Source organism: Homo sapiens, chromosome X, assembly GCF_000001405.40.
Source record: "Homo sapiens chromosome X, GRCh38.p14 Primary Assembly".
Taxonomy (NCBI): Eukaryota; Metazoa; Chordata; class Mammalia; order Primates; family Hominidae; genus Homo; species Homo sapiens.
The window spans coordinates 120,972,092-120,993,789 of NC_000023.11; the positions used below are offsets into that span (position 1 = coordinate 120,972,092).

The following is a 21,698-nucleotide window of genomic DNA, read 5'->3' on the forward strand; positions in this document are numbered from 1 at the left end:
GACCAGGTCATCTCATAAGAGCTAAGCATCAAAAACACCAAAAGTGCCTGGGGGTGGTGGCTCACGCCTGTAATCCAGCACTTTGGGAGGCCGCACTTTGGGAGGCCGAGGCAGGCAGATCACCTGAGGTCAGTAGTTCGAGACCAGCATGACCAAAATGGTAAAACCCTGTCTGTACTAAAAATACAAAAAATTAGCTGGACATGGTGGTGCGCGCCTGTAGTCCCAGCTACTCGGAAGGGTGAGGCAGGAAATTTGCTGGAGCCTGGGAGGTGGAGGTTGCAGTGAGCCAAGATGGCCCCACTGCACTCCAGCCTGGGTGACAGAGCGAGACTCAGTTTCAAAAAAAAAAAAAAAAATTAGTAATATATGCAATATTATTTTCACACTTGCATCACATATTAAATCAGACTAGCCGTATTACAAGTGCTCAGTAGTCACAACACACAGCTCTAAAGATGAGCCCCATCTCTCTCTTTTCAAAAATTGTTTTAAACTTGTCATTTTACTTGATTTTTGGCTGCAGTGAAAGAATTTCAAAGAGTCTTACCAAATGGCGGAAAGTAATATCTTTCAATGAAGGTATGGTGGGCCAAAACAAAGACGTAAAGGAGAGATTTGAGTTAAGATTACTTATTGAAAAATCTTCCCACGTTTCAGTTTATTCATTTAAAACAAACTTTTATTTTTTAACTTGAACACTGTCACATACATCCATGAAAGTTAGATGTCACTGGATATCACTTTTGATGTAACGAACTTTGGAATGATATGTGTTACAATTCCCACAGGCATCTGGAGAAAAAGATAAAAACAATGAACAACAGAGTCTTCTTTCTTTTCCTCCCGACTGTGGGATGAAATGAGAGATGATAAACAATAGTACAACATTAACCAGCACCAGTGACTTTCTAAATAGAAGAAAATGGCCAGCTCTGTGTATATCTGCAACATTTGTGTGCTATATCTTAAACAAGTAGAGAAGCCCATCTTTTCCTTTTGTAACTCACGAGCTTGGATATCAGGGTGCTTGTGGAACTGAAGGTTTCAGTCAAATGATCACACCAACCTTGTCTGCCTAGCACTAGAAAAGCTTGTTGCTTTTGTTTTTACATGAGGGGCCATTCTGGGATTTAAATAAATCTCTCAAGCTTCAACAGCCTGTGCTGGTTCCACAAATAATACTCCCTTACCCTCCCAGACCCTTGGTTTCCGTATCTACCATGTGGGAAAGAAGCCGTTACGAAATATACGGCTGTGAAAATGCAAAATAAATAAATAAATAAGAAAGAAAGAAAAATGTTAACCATTTAAATACACTCAAAGATGGATATACCTTAAGACTTCATTACCAATTCAGTGATAAACACACATTCTTTTCATCTGACTGTGACATAAAATACCAAAATATATAGCCAAATAAATATCTAGGTATTAATCATTCATTGTGGTCCTACTTGAAATTCTTAGCTTTTTGCTATTTTTAAGTAGTCACTTTGTAAAAGGCATTGAGTTGTCTCCTAGTTACTACGGGAGCCTGCATTTCTGTGGTCAAGTAACGAAGGCCCAACTAATGCGTGGCCCAGCCAAGTTAGCGGCTGTGTCTGGCAACTGTTTTCTACACAAATATTGGTCCTGGTAGTAGGTCTGATACATCTGCCACTTGTTAGTAGTCTTGCAGCTAGAGGACAAAAGACCTCAACATGAACAAATGAGTAGCCAAGAAGTATATTTCAGAACACACTGCAGTTCATATTACTAGGTACATGAATATTCTCGTAACATTTTAAGTAAGTTAAATTGAATTTTTAAACTAATTTTAAACTTTTTCTTACTTAACTTACTGAGAATTTTTGTTGTTGTTCAATAAAACTGTCTGCAACAGGTAAATGCCAGGAATAGTTGAGTGATTCTCAAAGCTATACACAGATACCTGGATTTTCTTGGCTTCACCTCTGCTGCGTCTAGGTCCCTTTGGAGTTCTTCACCTTGTTTTCCGCATCCTTCTCTTTTTCTTGTTCTTTCTCTTCCTCGCCTGCAGCATCTTGGGCCTCTTCATCCCACTTTTCGGGCTGAGATTTAGTGACTTCTTTAGGGAAGAATAATACACACATGGGGACCAGACATTCACAGAAAATATAGCCCAATTTATAACTAGCAGCGGCATTCAGCTACTCCACCCTCAGGAGAAGCAGGATAGAGTTAAGTAAGAAAGGAATAGCTGGGCACCTTCCTACTGGTTTTCACAACAGTTCCATGGCCCTCACGTTGCTGCTGCTTGATCATTTCCACAGGGACACTGTATTTCCCTTTTTTCCAGTAAATCTCCCACCCAAAGCGGCTGATTATTTCTAGTTCTTTGGAGAAGAAGAGATCTGAATCATCGGGTCCGATCTCATTCTACGGTGTTTTGGTCAGAACTTTGTTGGGAAAATATTTGTTTACCTCAAAAGACAAATTCTATGGTGAAGCTCATTGGTTCCTCACCCCCCTGAATGCTTCATTTTTACCAAGTGCTCCTGCATCACTTCATCATTTGGGGGATCAACTTTCTACGAATCTTTACACTTTGAAAAGCCATGAACTAAAAGGGATGCCTGCCATTTGCCTGTTCTTTTCCTTGGCGCATCCCTTCTGTTTCCTGCGGAGCTCCCTCCTGAACCCCTATCTACCCGGCCATTCATCTGCGGGCTCACAAATGGCACCGATGATCTCAGATCTCCTATCAAATATAGGTTGGTAGAGGGCGACAAGTTTTCTCAAAACCACAGATGTCGTTAGAGAATTGGGCTTCGACTCATTGGGACACATTCTGCCTTAAGTTTCAGGAGGGCCCCGACTCCTGCTTCACCACCCGAGGCCCCGACCCCCCTTCACCACCCGCTTCACCAGCTATGCCCGCACCGCGGCCCTGCCTAGAACCCTGGGACACACGGGTCCCCGCCTCCCCGCTGCTGCCGCTAGCCCGTTCCTTACCCTCTGGGGCCGTGGCCTCCTGTGCGGTCGGTTCTTCTGTGGCCGGTTCCTCTGCGTCTGGTTCCTCTGTGGCCTCCTCTGAGAGCTTCTCCTCTGCGGCCTCCTCCGCGGGCTCCCTGGCCATCTCGGCCAGGTCAGCTGGCACTGCAGGCTCTGGGACCGATGCGGCCTCCTGGATCAGGCCCAGGCCCTCGCCCGCCCGGGCTGCGGCCCCTGCACCCAGCCTCTGGGGCAGCAGCAGCGGGGGGAGGTTGCCCCAGAGGTTGCGCGCAGCAGCGTGTGGCCCCACCATCAGGCGGCTGAGTTGACGGTTCTCTATGAGGATGTGGTCGTTGTGAGAGAGGCGGTGGAGAAGGGAGTGGACCATGTCCAGGAGCACGAAGTGAATGCCCGACGCCGGGTAGCGACGGGCGACCACCGCCAAGTCGAAGTTGGCCGCCTCGTTCCCCTCTTCCTCCTCCTCTTCCTCCGTCGCGGGCCCGATATCTGAGTCCTCCTCGGCGCTCCCGCCCCGGGGGACTGCGGCCAGGCCTGCCGCCTGCTCACCCTCCTCCTCCCCGAGGCCTTCCACGGGCCCTGCGACTCCGACCACCTCGGCCGCAGGCACCACGTCGCTGCTGTCGGGGCCGGAGTCGCCGCCCTCCTGGTTACCAGCTCCGGCCGCCTCGGCCTGTGCTCCCTCCTGGCTTACCGGGGCCTCCTGGTCCCCTTGGGTCGGGTGTCGGTCCCCTGTGGCAGACATGACACCAGCAGCGCCTCAACTGGGGTGGCGAGCGGGCTGAGGCGACCACGGTGAAGACGGTGACCACTGAGGTGGCTACGGCCGAGGGGAGGCGAGGAGCTGGCCGCTGAGGGAATAAGAGTCTCTCTCTTTATTGAGGGAATAAGAGTCTGTCTCAGACGACACCCTAAGATGGGAAGGGCAGGGAGCGAATCCTAGAAACCTCCCACCAAGGCTGGCCTGAGAGGACTTAGACAAGTTGGGAAAGATTCTGGTTGGCAGGCGAAAGGGGGCGGGACCGGAAGGGTCAACGAGGGGCTCTCAGTGAGCCCTAAGCTCATTTGCTGAAAACTTCAGATTGACATGTTCTATGTCCAATGAATGATCAAGGCCCTTAAGCTCTAGAACTGAGAATCCAGAATCCAGAGCTTTTTCTTTTCTTTTCATAGTGTTGCTCTGTTGCCCAGGCTGGAGTGCAGTGGCAAGATCTCGGCTCACTGCAATCCCCGCCTCCTGGGTTCCAGTGATTCTCCTGCCTCAGCCTCCTGAGTAGCTGGGACTACAGGTACATGCCACCACGCCTGGCTAGGTTTTGTATTTTTAGTAGAGACAGGGTTTCACCATGTTGGCCAGGATGGTCTCGATCTCCTGACCTTGTGATCCACCTGCCTCAGCCTCCCAAAGTGCTTGGATTACAGGCATGAGCCACCGTGCCAGGCCGAGCTCTACCTTTTCTATGAGGCCTTAGTGTCCAAGGCTACCCCTTTAGGTCCACACAAGTCCTGCCCTTTTAATTTTATGATTATTAGCAACACTATAGTAGTCCCATGTGGAGGCACCCTGGAGCATGGGAACTGCAAGGCGGTCACAGAGTTCACTTATTTCCACCTAGTAATGGCTCATGCCAGTAGAGATAGTGTCATAAAAATGTTATATAGTTCATAGCTAAGCAGTAGTGAAAACCTCCCAAGAGACATAAGAATTTCACTGAGTTAACGTAGTTAAAGCTACTTAGAAAAGAATGTGCAGAGTTGAAATGGATGCAGTCATCACTGAGTGTTGAGGTGGTAAATGACAGACACTGGAAGGTGTTTAATGAATCCTGCCAAATTCACTTCAAACCTCCAAATAATGGGGAAAAAAAGAGATACTTTTTTTAAAAGGACCAGGTCATCTCATAAGAGCTAAGCATCAAAAACACCAAAAGTGCCTGGGGGTGGTGGCTCACGCCTGTAATCCAGCACTTTGGGAGGCCGCACTTTGGGAGGCCGAGGCAGGCAGATCACCTGAGGTCAGTAGTTCGAGACCAGCATGACCAAAATGGTAAAACCCTGTCTGTACTAAAAATACAAAAAATTAGCTGGACATGGTGGTGCGCGCCTGTAGTCCCAGCTACTCGGAAGGGTGAGGCAGGAAATTTGCTGGAGCCTGGGAGGTGGAGGTTGCAGTGAGCCAAGATGGCCCCACTGCACTCCAGCCTGGGTGACAGAGCGAGACTCAGTTTCAAAAAAAAAAAAAAAAATTAGTAATATATGCAATATTATTTTCACACTTGCATCACATATTAAATCAGACTAGCCGTATTACAAGTGCTCAGTAGTCACAACACACAGCTCTAAAGATGAGCCCCATCTCTCTCTTTTCAAAAATTGTTTTAAACTTGTCATTTTACTTGATTTTTGGCTGCAGTGAAAGAATTTCAAAGAGTCTTACCAAATGGCGGAAAGTAATATCTTTCAATGAAGGTATGGTGGGCCAAAACAAAGACGTAAAGGAGAGATTTGAGTTAAGATTACTTATTGAAAAATCTTCCCACGTTTCAGTTTATTCATTTAAAACAAACTTTTATTTTTTAACTTGAACACTGTCACATACATCCATGAAAGTTAGATGTCACTGGATATCACTTTTGATGTAACGAACTTTGGAATGATATGTGTTACAATTCCCACAGGCATCTGGAGAAAAAGATAAAAACAATGAACAACAGAGTCTTCTTTCTTTTCCTCCCGACTGTGGGATGAAATGAGAGATGATAAACAATAGTACAACATTAACCAGCACCAGTGACTTTCTAAATAGAAGAAAATGGCCAGCTCTGTGTATATCTGCAACATTTGTGTGCTATATCTTAAACAAGTAGAGAAGCCCATCTTTTCCTTTTGTAACTCACGAGCTTGGATATCAGGGTGCTTGTGGAACTGAAGGTTTCAGTCAAATGATCACACCAACCTTGTCTGCCTAGCACTAGAAAAGCTTGTTGCTTTTGTTTTTACATGAGGGGCCATTCTGGGATTTAAATAAATCTCTCAAGCTTCAACAGCCTGTGCTGGTTCCACAAATAATACTCCCTTACCCTCCCAGACCCTTGGTTTCCGTATCTACCATGTGGGAAAGAAGCCGTTACGAAATATACGGCTGTGAAAATGCAAAATAAATAAATAAATAAGAAAGAAAGAAAAATGTTAACCATTTAAATACACTCAAAGATGGATATACCTTAAGACTTCATTACCAATTCAGTGATAAACACACATTCTTTTCATCTGACTGTGACATAAAATACCAAAATATATAGCCAAATAAATATCTAGGTATTAATCATTCATTGTGGTCCTACTTGAAATTCTTAGCTTTTTGCTATTTTTAAGTAGTCACTTTGTAAAAGGCATTGAGTTGTCTCCTAGTTACTACGGGAGCCTGCATTTCTGTGGTCAAGTAACGAAGGCCCAACTAATGCGTGGCCCAGCCAAGTTAGCGGCTGTGTCTGGCAACTGTTTTCTACACAAATATTGGTCCTGGTAGTAGGTCTGATACATCTGCCACTTGTTAGTAGTCTTGCAGCTAGAGGACAAAAGACCTCAACATGAACAAATGAGTAGCCAAGAAGTATATTTCAGAACACACTGCAGTTCATATTACTAGGTACATGAATATTCTCGTAACATTTTAAGTAAGTTAAATTGAATTTTTAAACTAATTTTAAACTTTTTCTTACTTAACTTACTGAGAATTTTTGTTGTTGTTCAATAAAACTGTCTGCAACAGGTAAATGCCAGGAATAGTTGAGTGATTCTCAAAGCTATACACAGATACCTGGATTTTCTTGGCTTCACCTCTGCTGCGTCTAGGTCCCTTTGGAGTTCTTCACCTTGTTTTCCGCATCCTTCTCTTTTTCTTGTTCTTTCTCTTCCTCGCCTGCAGCATCTTGGGCCTCTTCATCCCACTTTTCGGGCTGAGATTTAGTGACTTCTTTAGGGAAGAATAATACACACATGGGGACCAGACATTCACAGAAAATATAGCCCAATTTATAACTAGCAGCGGCATTCAGCTACTCCACCCTCAGGAGAAGCAGGATAGAGTTAAGTAAGAAAGGAATAGCTGGGCACCTTCCTACTGGTTTTCACAACAGTTCCATGGCCCTCACGTTGCTGCTGCTTGATCATTTCCACAGGGACACTGTATTTCCCTTTTTTCCAGTAAATCTCCCACCCAAAGCGGCTGATTATTTCTAGTTCTTTGGAGAAGAAGAGATCTGAATCATCGGGTCCGATCTCATTCTACGGTGTTTTGGTCAGAACTTTGTTGGGAAAATATTTGTTTACCTCAAAAGACAAATTCTATGGTGAAGCTCATTGGTTCCTCACCCCCCTGAATGCTTCATTTTTACCAAGTGCTCCTGCATCACTTCATCATTTGGGGGATCAACTTTCTACGAATCTTTACACTTTGAAAAGCCATGAACTAAAAGGGATGCCTGCCATTTGCCTGTTCTTTTCCTTGGCGCATCCCTTCTGTTTCCTGCGGAGCTCCCTCCTGAACCCCTATCTACCCGGCCATTCATCTGCGGGCTCACAAATGGCACCGATGATCTCAGATCTCCTATCAAATATAGGTTGGTAGAGGGCGACAAGTTTTCTCAAAACCACAGATGTCGTTAGAGAATTGGGCTTCGACTCATTGGGACACATTCTGCCTTAAGTTTCAGGAGGGCCCCGACTCCTGCTTCACCACCCGAGGCCCCGACCCCCCTTCACCACCCGCTTCACCAGCTATGCCCGCACCGCGGCCCTGCCTAGAACCCTGGGACACACGGGTCCCCGCCTCCCCGCTGCTGCCGCTAGCCCGTTCCTTACCCTCTGGGGCCGTGGCCTCCTGTGCGGTCGGTTCTTCTGTGGCCGGTTCCTCTGCGTCTGGTTCCTCTGTGGCCTCCTCTGAGAGCTTCTCCTCTGCGGCCTCCTCCGCGGGCTCCCTGGCCATCTCGGCCAGGTCAGCTGGCACTGCAGGCTCTGGGACCGATGCGGCCTCCTGGATCAGGCCCAGGCCCTCGCCCGCCCGGGCTGCGGCCCCTGCACCCAGCCTCTGGGGCAGCAGCAGCGGGGGGAGGTTGCCCCAGAGGTTGCGCGCAGCAGCGTGTGGCCCCACCATCAGGCGGCTGAGTTGACGGTTCTCTATGAGGATGTGGTCGTTGTGAGAGAGGCGGTGGAGAAGGGAGTGGACCATGTCCAGGAGCACGAAGTGAATGCCCGACGCCGGGTAGCGACGGGCGACCACCGCCAAGTCGAAGTTGGCCGCCTCGTTCCCCTCTTCCTCCTCCTCTTCCTCCGTCGCGGGCCCGATATCTGAGTCCTCCTCGGCGCTCCCGCCCCGGGGGACTGCGGCCAGGCCTGCCGCCTGCTCACCCTCCTCCTCCCCGAGGCCTTCCACGGGCCCTGCGACTCCGACCACCTCGGCCGCAGGCACCACGTCGCTGCTGTCGGGGCCGGAGTCGCCGCCCTCCTGGTTACCAGCTCCGGCCGCCTCGGCCTGTGCTCCCTCCTGGCTTACCGGGGCCTCCTGGTCCCCTTGGGTCGGGTGTCGGTCCCCTGTGGCAGACATGACACCAGCAGCGCCTCAACTGGGGTGGCGAGCGGGCTGAGGCGACCACGGTGAAGACGGTGACCACTGAGGTGGCTACGGCCGAGGGGAGGCGAGGAGCTGGCCGCTGAGGGAATAAGAGTCTCTCTCTTTATTGAGGGAATAAGAGTCTGTCTCAGACGACACCCTAAGATGGGAAGGGCAGGGAGCGAATCCTAGAAACCTCCCACCAAGGCTGGCCTGAGAGGACTTAGACAAGTTGGGAAAGATTCTGGTTGGCAGGCGAAAGGGGGCGGGACCGGAAGGGTCAACGAGGGGCTCTCAGTGAGCCCTAAGCTCATTTGCTGAAAACTTCAGATTGACATGTTCTATGTCCAATGAATGATCAAGGCCCTTAAGCTCTAGAACTGAGAATCCAGAATCCAGAGCTTTTTCTTTTCTTTTCATAGTGTTGCTCTGTTGCCCAGGCTGGAGTGCAGTGGCAAGATCTCGGCTCACTGCAATCCCCGCCTCCTGGGTTCCAGTGATTCTCCTGCCTCAGCCTCCTGAGTAGCTGGGACTACAGGTACATGCCACCACGCCTGGCTAGGTTTTGTATTTTTAGTAGAGACAGGGTTTCACCATGTTGGCCAGGATGGTCTCGATCTCCTGACCTTGTGATCCACCTGCCTCAGCCTCCCAAAGTGCTTGGATTACAGGCATGAGCCACCGTGCCAGGCCGAGCTCTACCTTTTCTATGAGGCCTTAGTGTCCAAGGCTACCCCTTTAGGTCCACACAAGTCCTGCCCTTTTAATTTTATGATTATTAGCAACACTATAGTAGTCCCATGTGGAGGCACCCTGGAGCATGGGAACTGCAAGGCGGTCACAGAGTTCACTTATTTCCACCTAGTAATGGCTCATGCCAGTAGAGATAGTGTCATAAAAATGTTATATAGTTCATAGCTAAGCAGTAGTGAAAACCTCCCAAGAGACATAAGAATTTCACTGAGTTAACGTAGTTAAAGCTACTTAGAAAAGAATGTGCAGAGTTGAAATGGATGCAGTCATCACTGAGTGTTGAGGTGGTAAATGACAGACACTGGAAGGTGTTTAATGAATCCTGCCAAATTCACTTCAAACCTCCAAATAATGGGGAAAAAAAGAGATACTTTTTTTAAAAGGACCAGGTCATCTCATAAGAGCTAAGCATCAAAAACACCAAAAGTGCCTGGGGGTGGTGGCTCACGCCTGTAATCCAGCACTTTGGGAGGCCGCACTTTGGGAGGCCGAGGCAGGCAGATCACCTGAGGTCAGTAGTTCGAGACCAGCATGACCAATATGGTAAAACCCTGTCTGTACTAAAAATACAAAAAATTAGCTGGACATGGTGGTGCGCGCCTGTAGTCCCAGCTACTCGGAAGGGTGAGGCAGGAAATTTGCTGGAGCCTGGGAGGTGGAGGTTGCAGTGAGCCAAGATGGCCCCACTGCACTCCAGCCTGGGTGACAGAGCGAGACTCAGTTTCAAAAAAAAAAAAAAAAATTAGTAATATATGCAATATTATTTTCACACTTGCATCACATATTAAATCAGACTAGCCGTATTACAAGTGCTCAGTAGTCACAACACACAGCTCTAAAGATGAGCCCCATCTCTCTCTTTTCAAAAATTGTTTTAAACTTGTCATTTTACTTGATTTTTGGCTGCAGTGAAAGAATTTCAAAGAGTCTTACCAAATGGCGGAAAGTAATATCTTTCAATGAAGGTATGGTGGGCCAAAACAAAGACGTAAAGGAGAGATTTGAGTTAAGATTACTTATTGAAAAATCTTCCCACGTTTCAGTTTATTCATTTAAAACAAACTTTTATTTTTTAACTTGAACACTGTCACATACATCCATGAAAGTTAGATGTCACTGGATATCACTTTTGATGTAACGAACTTTGGAATGATATGTGTTACAATTCCCACAGGCATCTGGAGAAAAAGATAAAAACAATGAACAACAGAGTCTTCTTTCTTTTCCTCCCGACTGTGGGATGAAATGAGAGATGATAAACAATAGTACAACATTAACCAGCACCAGTGACTTTCTAAATAGAAGAAAATGGCCAGCTCTGTGTATATCTGCAACATTTGTGTGCTATATCTTAAACAAGTAGAGAAGCCCATCTTTTCCTTTTGTAACTCACGAGCTTGGATATCAGGGTGCTTGTGGAACTGAAGGTTTCAGTCAAATGATCACACCAACCTTGTCTGCCTAGCACTAGAAAAGCTTGTTGCTTTTGTTTTTACATGAGGGGCCATTCTGGGATTTAAATAAATCTCTCAAGCTTCAACAGCCTGTGCTGGTTCCACAAATAATACTCCCTTACCCTCCCAGACCCTTGGTTTCCGTATCTACCATGTGGGAAAGAAGCCGTTACGAAATATACGGCTGTGAAAATGCAAAATAAATAAATAAATAAGAAAGAAAGAAAAATGTTAACCATTTAAATACACTCAAAGATGGATATACCTTAAGACTTCATTACCAATTCAGTGATAAACACACATTCTTTTCATCTGACTGTGACATAAAATACCAAAATATATAGCCAAATAAATATCTAGGTATTAATCATTCATTGTGGTCCTACTTGAAATTCTTAGCTTTTTGCTATTTTTAAGTAGTCACTTTGTAAAAGGCATTGAGTTGTCTCCTAGTTACTACGGGAGCCTGCATTTCTGTGGTCAAGTAACGAAGGCCCAACTAATGCGTGGCCCAGCCAAGTTAGCGGCTGTGTCTGGCAACTGTTTTCTACACAAATATTGGTCCTGGTAGTAGGTCTGATACATCTGCCACTTGTTAGTAGTCTTGCAGCTAGAGGACAAAAGACCTCAACATGAACAAATGAGTAGCCAAGAAGTATATTTCAGAACACACTGCAGTTCATATTACTAGGTACATGAATATTCTCGTAACATTTTAAGTAAGTTATATTGAATTTTTAAACTAATTTTAAACTTTTTCTTACTTAACTTACTGAGAATTTTTGTTGTTGTTCAATAAAACTGTCTGCAACAGGTAAATGCCAGGAATAGTTGAGTGATTCTCAAAGCTATACACAGATACCTGGATTTTCTTGGCTTCACCTCTGCTGCGTCTAGGTCCCTTTGGAGTTCTTCACCTTGTTTTCTGCATCCTTCTCTTTTTCTTGTTCTTTCTCTTCCTCGCCTGCAGCATCTTGGGCCTCTTCATCCCACTTTTCGGGCTGAGATTTAGTGACTTCTTTAGGGAAGAATAATACACACATGGGGACCAGACATTCACAGAAAATATAGCCCAATTTATAACTAGCAGCGGCATTCAGCTACTCCACCCTCAGGAGAAGCAGGATAGAGTTAAGTAAGAAAGGAATAGCTGGGCACCTTCCTACTGGTTTTCACAACAGTTCCATGGCCCTCACGTTGCTGCTGCTTGATCATTTCCACAGGGACACTGTATTTCCCTTTTTTCCAGTAAATCTCCCACCCAAAGCGGCTGATTATTTCTAGTTCTTTGGAGAAGAAGAGATCTGAATCATCGGGTCCGATCTCATTCTACGGTGTTTTGGTCAGAACTTTGTTGGGAAAATATTTGTTTACCTCAAAAGACAAATTCTATGGTGAAGCTCATTGGTTCCTCACCCCCCTGAATGCTTCATTTTTACCAAGTGCTCCTGCATCACTTCATCATTTGGGGGATCAACTTTCTACGAATCTTTACACTTTGAAAAGCCATGAACTAAAAGGGATGCCTGCCATTTGCCTGTTCTTTTCCTTGGCGCATCCCTTCTGTTTCCTGCGGAGCTCCCTCCTGAACCCCTATCTACCCGGCCATTCATCTGCGGGCTCACAAATGGCACCGATGATCTCAGATCTCCTATCAAATATAGGTTGGTAGAGGGCGACAAGTTTTCTCAAAACCACAGATGTCGTTAGAGAATTGGGCTTCGACTCATTGGGACACATTCTGCCTTAAGTTTCAGGAGGGCCCCGACTCCTGCTTCACCACCCGAGGCCCCGACCCCCCTTCACCACCCGCTTCACCAGCTATGCCCGCACCGCGGCCCTGCCTAGAACCCTGGGACACACGGGTCCCCGCCTCCCCGCTGCTGCCGCTAGCCCGTTCCTTACCCTCTGGGGCCGTGGCCTCCTGTGCGGTCGGTTCTTCTGTGGCCGGTTCCTCTGCGTCTGGTTCCTCTGTGGCCTCCTCTGAGAGCTTCTCCTCTGCGGCCTCCTCCGCGGGCTCCCTGGCCATCTCGGCCAGGTCAGCTGGCACTGCAGGCTCTGGGACCGATGCGGCCTCCTGGATCAGGCCCAGGCCCTCGCCCGCCCGGGCTGCGGCCCCTGCACCCAGCCTCTGGGGCAGCAGCAGCGGGGGGAGGTTGCCCCAGAGGTTGCGCGCAGCAGCGTGTGGCCCCACCATCAGGCGGCTGAGTTGACGGTTCTCTATGAGGATGTGGTCGTTGTGAGAGAGGCGGTGGAGAAGGGAGTGGACCATGTCCAGGAGCACGAAGTGAATGCCCGACGCCGGGTAGCGACGGGCGACCACCGCCAAGTCGAAGTTGGCCGCCTCGTTCCCCTCTTCCTCCTCCTCTTCCTCCGTCGCGGGCCCGATATCTGAGTCCTCCTCGGCGCTCCCGCCCCGGGGGACTGCGGCCAGGCCTGCCGCCTGCTCACCCTCCTCCTCCCCGAGGCCTTCCACGGGCCCTGCGACTCCGACCACCTCGGCCGCAGGCACCACGTCGCTGCTGTCGGGGCCGGAGTCGCCGCCCTCCTGGTTACCAGCTCCGGCCGCCTCGGCCTGTGCTCCCTCCTGGCTTACCGGGGCCTCCTGGTCCCCTTGGGTCGGGTGTCGGTCCCCTGTGGCAGACATGACACCAGCAGCGCCTCAACTGGGGTGGCGAGCGGGCTGAGGCGACCACGGTGAAGACGGTGACCACTGAGGTGGCTACGGCCGAGGGGAGGCGAGGAGCTGGCCGCTGAGGGAATAAGAGTCTCTCTCTTTATTGAGGGAATAAGAGTCTGTCTCAGACGACACCCTAAGATGGGAAGGGCAGGGAGCGAATCCTAGAAACCTCCCACCAAGGCTGGCCTGAGAGGACTTAGACAAGTTGGGAAAGATTCTGGTTGGCAGGCGAAAGGGGGCGGGACCGGAAGGGTCAACGAGGGGCTCTCAGTGAGCCCTAAGCTCATTTGCTGAAAACTTCAGATTGACATGTTCTATGTCCAATGAATGATCAAGGCCCTTAAGCTCTAGAACTGAGAATCCAGAATCCAGAGCTTTTTCTTTTCTTTTCATAGTGTTGCTCTGTTGCCCAGGCTGGAGTGCAGTGGCAAGATCTCGGCTCACTGCAATCCCCGCCTCCTGGGTTCCAGTGATTCTCCTGCCTCAGCCTCCTGAGTAGCTGGGACTACAGGTACATGCCACCACGCCTGGCTAGGTTTTGTATTTTTAGTAGAGACAGGGTTTCACCATGTTGGCCAGGATGGTCTCGATCTCCTGACCTTGTGATCCACCTGCCTCAGCCTCCCAAAGTGCTTGGATTACAGGCATGAGCCACCGTGCCAGGCCGAGCTCTACCTTTTCTATGAGGCCTTAGTGTCCAAGGCTACCCCTTTAGGTCCACACAAGTCCTGCCCTTTTAATTTTATGATTATTAGCAACACTATAGTAGTCCCATGTGGAGGCACCCTGGAGCATGGGAACTGCAAGGCGGTCACAGAGTTCACTTATTTCCACCTAGTAATGGCTCATGCCAGTAGAGATAGTGTCATAAAAATGTTATATAGTTCATAGCTAAGCAGTAGTGAAAACCTCCCAAGAGACATAAGAATTTCACTGAGTTAACGTAGTTAAAGCTACTTAGAAAAGAATGTGCAGAGTTGAAATGGATGCAGTCATCACTGAGTGTTGAGGTGGTAAATGACAGACACTGGAAGGTGTTTAATGAATCCTGCCAAATTCACTTCAAACCTCCAAATAATGGGGAAAAAAAGAGATACTTTTTTTAAAAGGACCAGGTCATCTCATAAGAGCTAAGCATCAAAAACACCAAAAGTGCCTGGGGGTGGTGGCTCACGCCTGTAATCCAGCACTTTGGGAGGCCGCACTTTGGGAGGCCGAGGCAGGCAGATCACCTGAGGTCAGTAGTTCGAGACCAGCATGACCAATATGGTAAAACCCTGTCTGTACTAAAAATACAAAAAATTAGCTGGGTGTGGGGGTGTGCGCCTATATTCCCAGCTACTCAAGACAGTGAGGCAGGAAATTTGCTGGAACCTGGGAGGTGGAGGTTGCAGTGAGCTGAGATGTCCCCACTGCACTCCAGCCTGGGTGACAGAGCGAGACTCAGTCTCAAAATAATTAAAAAAAAAAAACTAAACAAAACACCAAAAGGACAGGCTTCCTAGGATATTTCAAGCAACAGCCCAAGGCTTTTTGTTGATTTCAAAACCCGCTTAATCAAGATTCAAGTAGTAAGTAATTCTGAACATTTTGGAGAAATCAACTGTTATTTTGTGTTCATTCTATGAAATTTTTTGTCACACTACAACTGCTCTCTGAAAAAAATTGCAGGTAGCATATTTCATGTATTAAATTGAGCAATATTAGTACCATTAAATCTCATCAAGTTGAGCAGGTCATTGTTGTTCCTTTCATCAACTCAGTCAAATTTCAGTGCTTCTATTTTTCTCTAGTTTCATCTAAAAAAGGGGCATGGTGCTGTCACAAGTCATTGGTTTAAATCTGGAAGACAATGTGGAAAATTTCTAATCCAAAATACTCACTATTAAGACAGCAAAACCCAGGCAGAACCCCAGTCTGAGGTCTGGAGTTGCTTTAATATTTGCTTCCTGATGCGATGTTTGGAAAGTTATTTATTTCTATGCCTCAGTTTTATCATTTGTGAAGTTAAGATAATGATTCTCTAGCTACCTCCCAAGGTTGATCTGAGAATCAAGTAAGATAATGGGATGAAAACCCTTTTTGTACTGTAAAATACTATACATGTATATGATTACATCAAAAATAATTTTTCCCTGTTCTTAAATTATTGGAGAGAAGCCGTCAGGTATATTTGGCCCTCTGTATCTATGGATTCTGCATGTGTGGATTCAACTAACTGGATCAAAAATATTCAGAATTTGCATATGCACTGAGCATGTACAGACTTTCTTTGTGTCATTATTCCCTAAACAATATAGTATAACAACTATTTAGATAGCATTTACATTGTATTAGGTATTACAAATAATCTAGAGATGATTTAAAGTATACATGATAATGTGCATAGGTTATATGCAAATATTATGCCATTTTATATCTGGAACTTGGGCATCTGCAGATTTTGGTATCTGCAGGAGGTCTTGGAACAAATCCCCCATGGATAACTAGGAATGACTGTAGTCTCTCAGGCCTTCAGAGAACCCTCTAATTTGGATTTGGAGGAATCCGTTTTTTCCTAGCTACATGGAGTTATATACTCCCCTGGCTAATACCCTGACTTCAGTCAAGATTTGAGTGAGATAGGTAGATGGAATGAGATGGAATTATATTTACAATATTAATTATTTGTTGAAAATATTTTCCCAGTTTGATTTTGCCTTCTAAGTTGGTTAATGTTTCCAAGTATTTAGTTTTTCATTTGTATGTTCCAAAAGTCTAACAATAATTTTTTAATGGTTTTGACTTCACTGTAAATTTGTAAATCTTCTTGTACAGAGAATTTTTATTTTATATTTTCTTTTTGGGGATCTTCTTAATGTTTACCTTTAGCTCCTTAATCCATAGTGTGAGATTAAAGTCTCAGATGATTTTTATTTTGAACAGCTCACCTATACCACCACTTATTGAGTAACTCTTCCCCTGTGTACTGATGTGTGGCCATGTACGCTTTAGCACTTTCTGTAAAGGTAGAAAACATGCAAGAGAAAACTCATTTTCCCCAAATTTCAGAGCTTGGTACGGCCTTTAGCTATTGAGTCCAAGCTTATTCTTTTTTAAGTGGAAAAATTAAGGCCTGGAGTAGTTAACTGGCTTTCCAATGTCATACTACTCAATGGAGGAGCCAGGAGTAGAACCAACATCCTCTGACCTTTAATCCGAAATTGAGACAGGCATGCTTATTGTACATACAGCTTCAGGTGCAATTTGACAGCACAAGGTTAATTACCCAAATAAATAAATGGCTATGAGTTGAGGGTCTCTGAAATTCAGGCAAGCCTGTCCTCCTGACTCTGAATCAATCAGCAAATATTTACTAAACACCTACATTCAATGCCTTGTGTAAAACCTTGCTAGGGACAGAGAAGCAGGTGCCACCACCTCTGGCAAGAAGAATCTCACAGTCTAGTCGGGAGAAAGGATTGTGTATTGAGAATGGAGGTAAAAAAGCAGCACCTGACGCCCGGGCGCGGTGGCTCACGCCTGTAATCCCAGCACTTTGGGAGGCCGATGCGGGCAGATCACCTGAGCTCGAGAGTTCGAGACCAGCCTGATCAACATGGTGAAACCCAATCTCTACTAAAAATAAAATAAAAATTAGCTGGGCGTTTTGGCACGTGCCTGTAATCCCAGCTACTTGGGAGGCTGAGGCAAGAGAATCGCTTGAACCTAGGAGGCAGAGGTTGCAGTGAGCCGAGATCACACCACTGCACTCCAGACTGGGTGACAAGAGCGAAACTCCATCTCAAAAAAAAAAAAAAATGCAGCACCTGACATTCAGAGCTGACCTGGCACTCACAGCTAAGCCATCTTATTCTCCTACTGGATATAAACAATTGCATAGAACACCAACATCAGACAGGATCACTCTATGTCCATGATAAAAAGAGACAAAGCAAGGCCACTTTATAATTTTATTCAAGCAGAGAAAAATGAAGTCACAAAATACTAAACAAAATACTAAACTTAGCTTCTCTTGATTAAAATGAGTACCACTTATTTACCAATTACAGCTTTATCCTGGTTCTAATAGCCCCTCTCTATAAATAAGATTTATCGAAATACCAATCAGAACTGCACCCACTTTCTGATAGCACCTAATCTAGAGCAAATCCCCACTTTGTTCAAAACTTCCACATATTCTAAGCTTTGGAGTTGGGGAAGGAAGTGATATTGCCTCTGGCAAGAAAATAGACATAGGGGATTTGATGGAAGTCTTGTGGTGAGGAAGGTGCCCAATGGAGCACCCCTGTTTCCTGCTGCAATGCTGTCACCAAGACTGGTTCTACTCTTTCTTAGTGAAAACAAATACAGTCAGGTAGATGGTTTTTGTATACTTATAGTATTTCTACTTTTTTTCTTTTACCTCCTTTCTGTCAATGTCCATCCAGTTTTGCTTCACAACTTTCAACAGGACCATTGCTATTCACTTTAGAGGAGCATATTACCAAAAAACCAAAACCGAAAACTATAGAAGTGTCTTCCTAGGTCATGAAGAGCTGGGCTGTCCGCTTGAAGCTGTAGGAAAAATACTCCAGACCCTAGTCATTCAATCATCCAGTGAGCATATATTGAGCACCTACTATAGGCCTGGAGTTATGTCAAGGGCTGGGGACGCATTGGTGCTTAAGATCCATGGCTTGATCTATCTAGTTCATGGTCTAGAGGGGAAGACAAACATTTGGATGATGATGACACAAGGTGTCAAGAACTATAACAGGGATGAACACAAGGTACTGTGGGATCTCAGGAGACAGAATGATTAGCTAAGGTTGAGGGGATGGCAGGGAAAGCGGGTTGGTGCCTGGGAAGGTGCTCAACAAGAGGCATTTCAGCTGAGTTCTGAAACTAGGAGTTCAACCGGCAATAAAGATTGGGGGAAAGTCATTGCAAGTAAAGGAAGCAGCATGGATAATGGCAGCGGTGTGTGCATATTGGTCCAAGGCAATGAAATGGCTAGAGCATTGGGCAGAGTGGCAGATGGGCCTTTAAAGGAGATGGGGCTGGGGATGGATACCCCATTCTCCATGATGTGCTTATTTCACATTGCATAACTGTACCAAAACATCTCATATATCCCATAAATATATACACCTACTATGTACCCACAAAAATTAAGAATAAAAGAAATAGAAAAATAAAGCAGATGGGGCGATGAATAATGAATGCTTCTCTAAAGAGTTTGCCCTTTGGCCTGAAAGGGCTGGGCTGTCCACTAGAAGCTGCAGGGCAAATACTCCAGACTCTAGTAATTCAATCATTCACTGAGTTTGCCCTTTGTCTTGAAACCCCTTTGCCTGCTTGCCCTTTGCATAGAAGACATTTCTAGAAGTATTACTGCAAGTTTTCACCCTCATTTTTATGTTCTTAGTTATTTTCATGGGTCTTCCTCCCAGGTTGTCCAATGACTGCCTCCTTGGCATTCAGGTTTTAGTCAAAGGGCACTCATGGGGTTTGTTCCTGACCACCTTGACTAAAGCTGTTACCTACCTCCACCCCGATCACTATTATGTCACTACCTTGTTTTGTTTCCTTTCTAGCCCTTGTACTAATTTAACTAATTTTATCTTTGTTTTTATCCTCTATCCCTACTACCACCACTCTAGATGCTATAAGGAAACTGTCCGTTTCCACTGATATTTACCCAAACACCTAGAATGGTGCCTGGAACATAGTAAATAAACACTTATTTGATGATTGTTTTCTCTACATTGGTTAACTGTACAAGGTGTACAAGGTACAAAACCAAATGTTAAGTTGCAAGATCATGTTTATGAATTGGATGAGCCTCCAATGGGTTAGTAAGATTAAGGTTGTTTTGAATTTCTGTAAAATGTTGGTAATTTCCTTAGACATCTCTGTTTTTAGATTGAGAAATTAACTTCAGAGGAAAAAAAATGTTTTCATTTGACAACAATTAAAATGGGCCAGTATATATAAGATTAGAGGGGCTTATACTAGTGTTAAATGTGTTTGTTTTGTGATTACCTCATGCCAAATTGCAACTTTTGGAGGTCAGAGAATTCACATGTAAGCCAACTTCCTGTCTTCTTACATGGTGTGAGTTAAAGTCTTCACTTTAGATTTACGTAGATTTGGTCTTTTCACATAGTCCCATATTTCTTGGAGGCTTTGTTCATTCCTTTTCATTCTTTCTTCTCTAATCTTGTCTTCACGCTGTATTTCATTAAGTTAATCTTTAATCTCTGATATCCTTTCTTCCACTTGATCAATTTGGCTATTGGTAACTTGTGTATGCTTCACAACGTTCTTGTGCTGTGTTTTTCAGCTCCATCAGGTCATTTATGTTCTTCTCTAAACTAGTTATTCTAGTTAGCAATTCCTCTAACCTTTTATCAAGGTTCTTAGCTTCCTTGCATTGGGTTAGAACATGCTCCTTTAGCTTGGAGGAGTTTGTTATTATCCACCTTCTGAAGCCTACTCCTGTCAATTCGTCACACTCACTCTCTGTCCAGTTTGTTCCCTTGCTGGCGAGGAGTTGTGATCCTTTGGAGGAGAAGAAGCATTCTGGTTTTTGGAATTTTCAGCCTTTTTGTGCTGGTTTTTCCTCATCTTCATGGATTTATCTACCTTTGGTCTTTGATGTTGGTAATCTTCAGATGGGGTTTTGGTGTGGACGTCCTTTTTGTTGATATTGACACTATTCCTTCCTGTTTGTTAGTTTTCCTTCTAACAGTCAGGCCCCTCTTCTCCAGGTCTGCTGGAGTTTGCTGGAGGTCCACTCCAGACCCTGTTTGCCTGGGTATCATAAGCGGAGGCTGCAGACCAGCAAAGATTGCTGCCTGTTCCTTCCTCTGGAAGCTTCATCCCAGAGGGGCACCAGCCAGATGCCAGCCGGAGCTCTCCTGTATGAGATATCTGTCGACCCCTGCTGGGAGGTGTCTCCCAGTCAGGAGGCACAGGGGTCAGGGACCCACTTGAGGAGGCAGTCTGTCCCTTAGCAGAGCTTGAGCGCTGTTCTGGGAGATTCGCTGCTCTCTTCAGAGGCAGCAGGCAGGAACGTTTAAGTCTGCCGAAGCTGTGCCTACAGCCACCCCTTCCCTCATGTGCTCTGTCCCAGGGAGATGGGAGTTTTATTTATAAGACCCTGACTGGGGATGCTGCCTTTCTTTCAGAGATGCGCTGCCCAGAAAGGAGGAATCTAGAGAGGCATTCTGGCTACAGCGGCTTTGCTGAGCTGCAGTGGGCTCCGTCCAGATTAAACTTCGAGGCAGCTTTGTTTACACTGTGAGGGAAAACCGCCTACTCGAGCCTCAGTAATGGTGGATGTCCCTCCTCCCACCAAGTTCGAGCATCCCAGGTCCACTTCAGACTGCTGTGCTGGCAGCAAGAATTTTAAGCCAGTGGATCTTAGCTTGCTGGCCTCTGTGGGGGTGAGATCCGCTGAGCTAGACCACGTGGCTCTCTGGCCACAGCACCCTTTCCAGGGGAGTGAACGGTTCTGTCTCGCTGGTGTTCCAGTCACCACTGGGGTCTGAAAAAATACTCCTTCAGCTAGCTCTGTTTCTGCCCAAACAGCCGCCCAGTTTTGTGCTTGAAACCCAGGGCCCTGGTGGTGTAGGCACCCGAGGGAATCTCCTGGTCTGTGGGTTGCATAGACCGTGGGAAAAGTGTAGTATCTGGGCCGGAATGCACCATTCCTCATGGCACAGTCCCTCACGGCTTCCTTTGGCTACCGGAGGGAGTTTCCCAACCTCCTGTGTGTTTCCTGGGTGAGAAGACACCCCATCGTGCTTCAGCTCGCCCTCCGTGGGTTGCACTCACTGTCTAACCAGTCCCAATGAGATGAGCCGGGTACCTCAGTTGGAAATGCAGAAATCACCTGCTTTCTGCATTGATCTCTCTGGGAGCTGCAGACTGGAGCTGTTTTTATTTGGCCATCTTGCCAGCCACACCCAAGATTATTCTTTAAAGCATACAATATTTATCACTGAGTAGATAATGACTATTTACTACACCAGCACAATGAATGGTATACTGCCTCATTACTGTTAGTTGTGAATGAAAGTCCCATGCCTATTTCCCACTAGGTCTCCTTTGACATCTCAGAAAGAGGAGACCCTCATTACTTCTGGGCAGGGATGGAATTTCAAGTCCCCAGTAGTACTCTGCAGATACTGGCTGGGAGGGAAAAGGGTGCTTTGCTACTGTTTTTTTCACGTGGCTT

General features: G+C 46.2%; 3 protein-coding genes across 3 annotated transcripts; all 3 read right to left on the reverse strand.

Moving 5' to 3' along the window:
- On the reverse strand, positions 655–3,977 carry CT47A3 (cancer/testis antigen family 47 member A3). The gene is made up of 3 exons (NM_001080144.2): positions 2,977–3,977; positions 1,934–2,089; positions 655–795 (listed from the first exon to the last, which is right to left on the reverse strand). The coding sequence occupies exons 1-2, from the start codon at positions 3,716–3,718 to the stop codon at positions 1,965–1,967; spliced, it is 867 nt and encodes a 288-aa protein (NP_001073613.1). The 5' UTR covers positions 3,719–3,977; the 3' UTR covers positions 655–795; positions 1,934–1,964.
- Positions 5,515–8,837, reverse strand: CT47A2 (cancer/testis antigen family 47 member A2). Its single transcript, NM_001080145.2, has 3 exons — positions 7,837–8,837; positions 6,794–6,949; positions 5,515–5,655 (listed from the first exon to the last, which is right to left on the reverse strand). The coding sequence occupies exons 1-2, from the start codon at positions 8,576–8,578 to the stop codon at positions 6,825–6,827; spliced, it is 867 nt and encodes a 288-aa protein (NP_001073614.1). The 5' UTR covers positions 8,579–8,837; the 3' UTR covers positions 5,515–5,655; positions 6,794–6,824.
- On the reverse strand, positions 10,385–13,669 carry CT47A1 (cancer/testis antigen family 47 member A1). The gene is made up of 3 exons (NM_001080146.3): positions 12,697–13,669; positions 11,654–11,809; positions 10,385–10,515 (listed from the first exon to the last, which is right to left on the reverse strand). Exons 1-2 carry the CDS (start codon positions 13,436–13,438, stop codon positions 11,685–11,687), a joined length of 867 nt encoding a protein of 288 aa, NP_001073615.1. The 5' UTR covers positions 13,439–13,669; the 3' UTR covers positions 10,385–10,515; positions 11,654–11,684.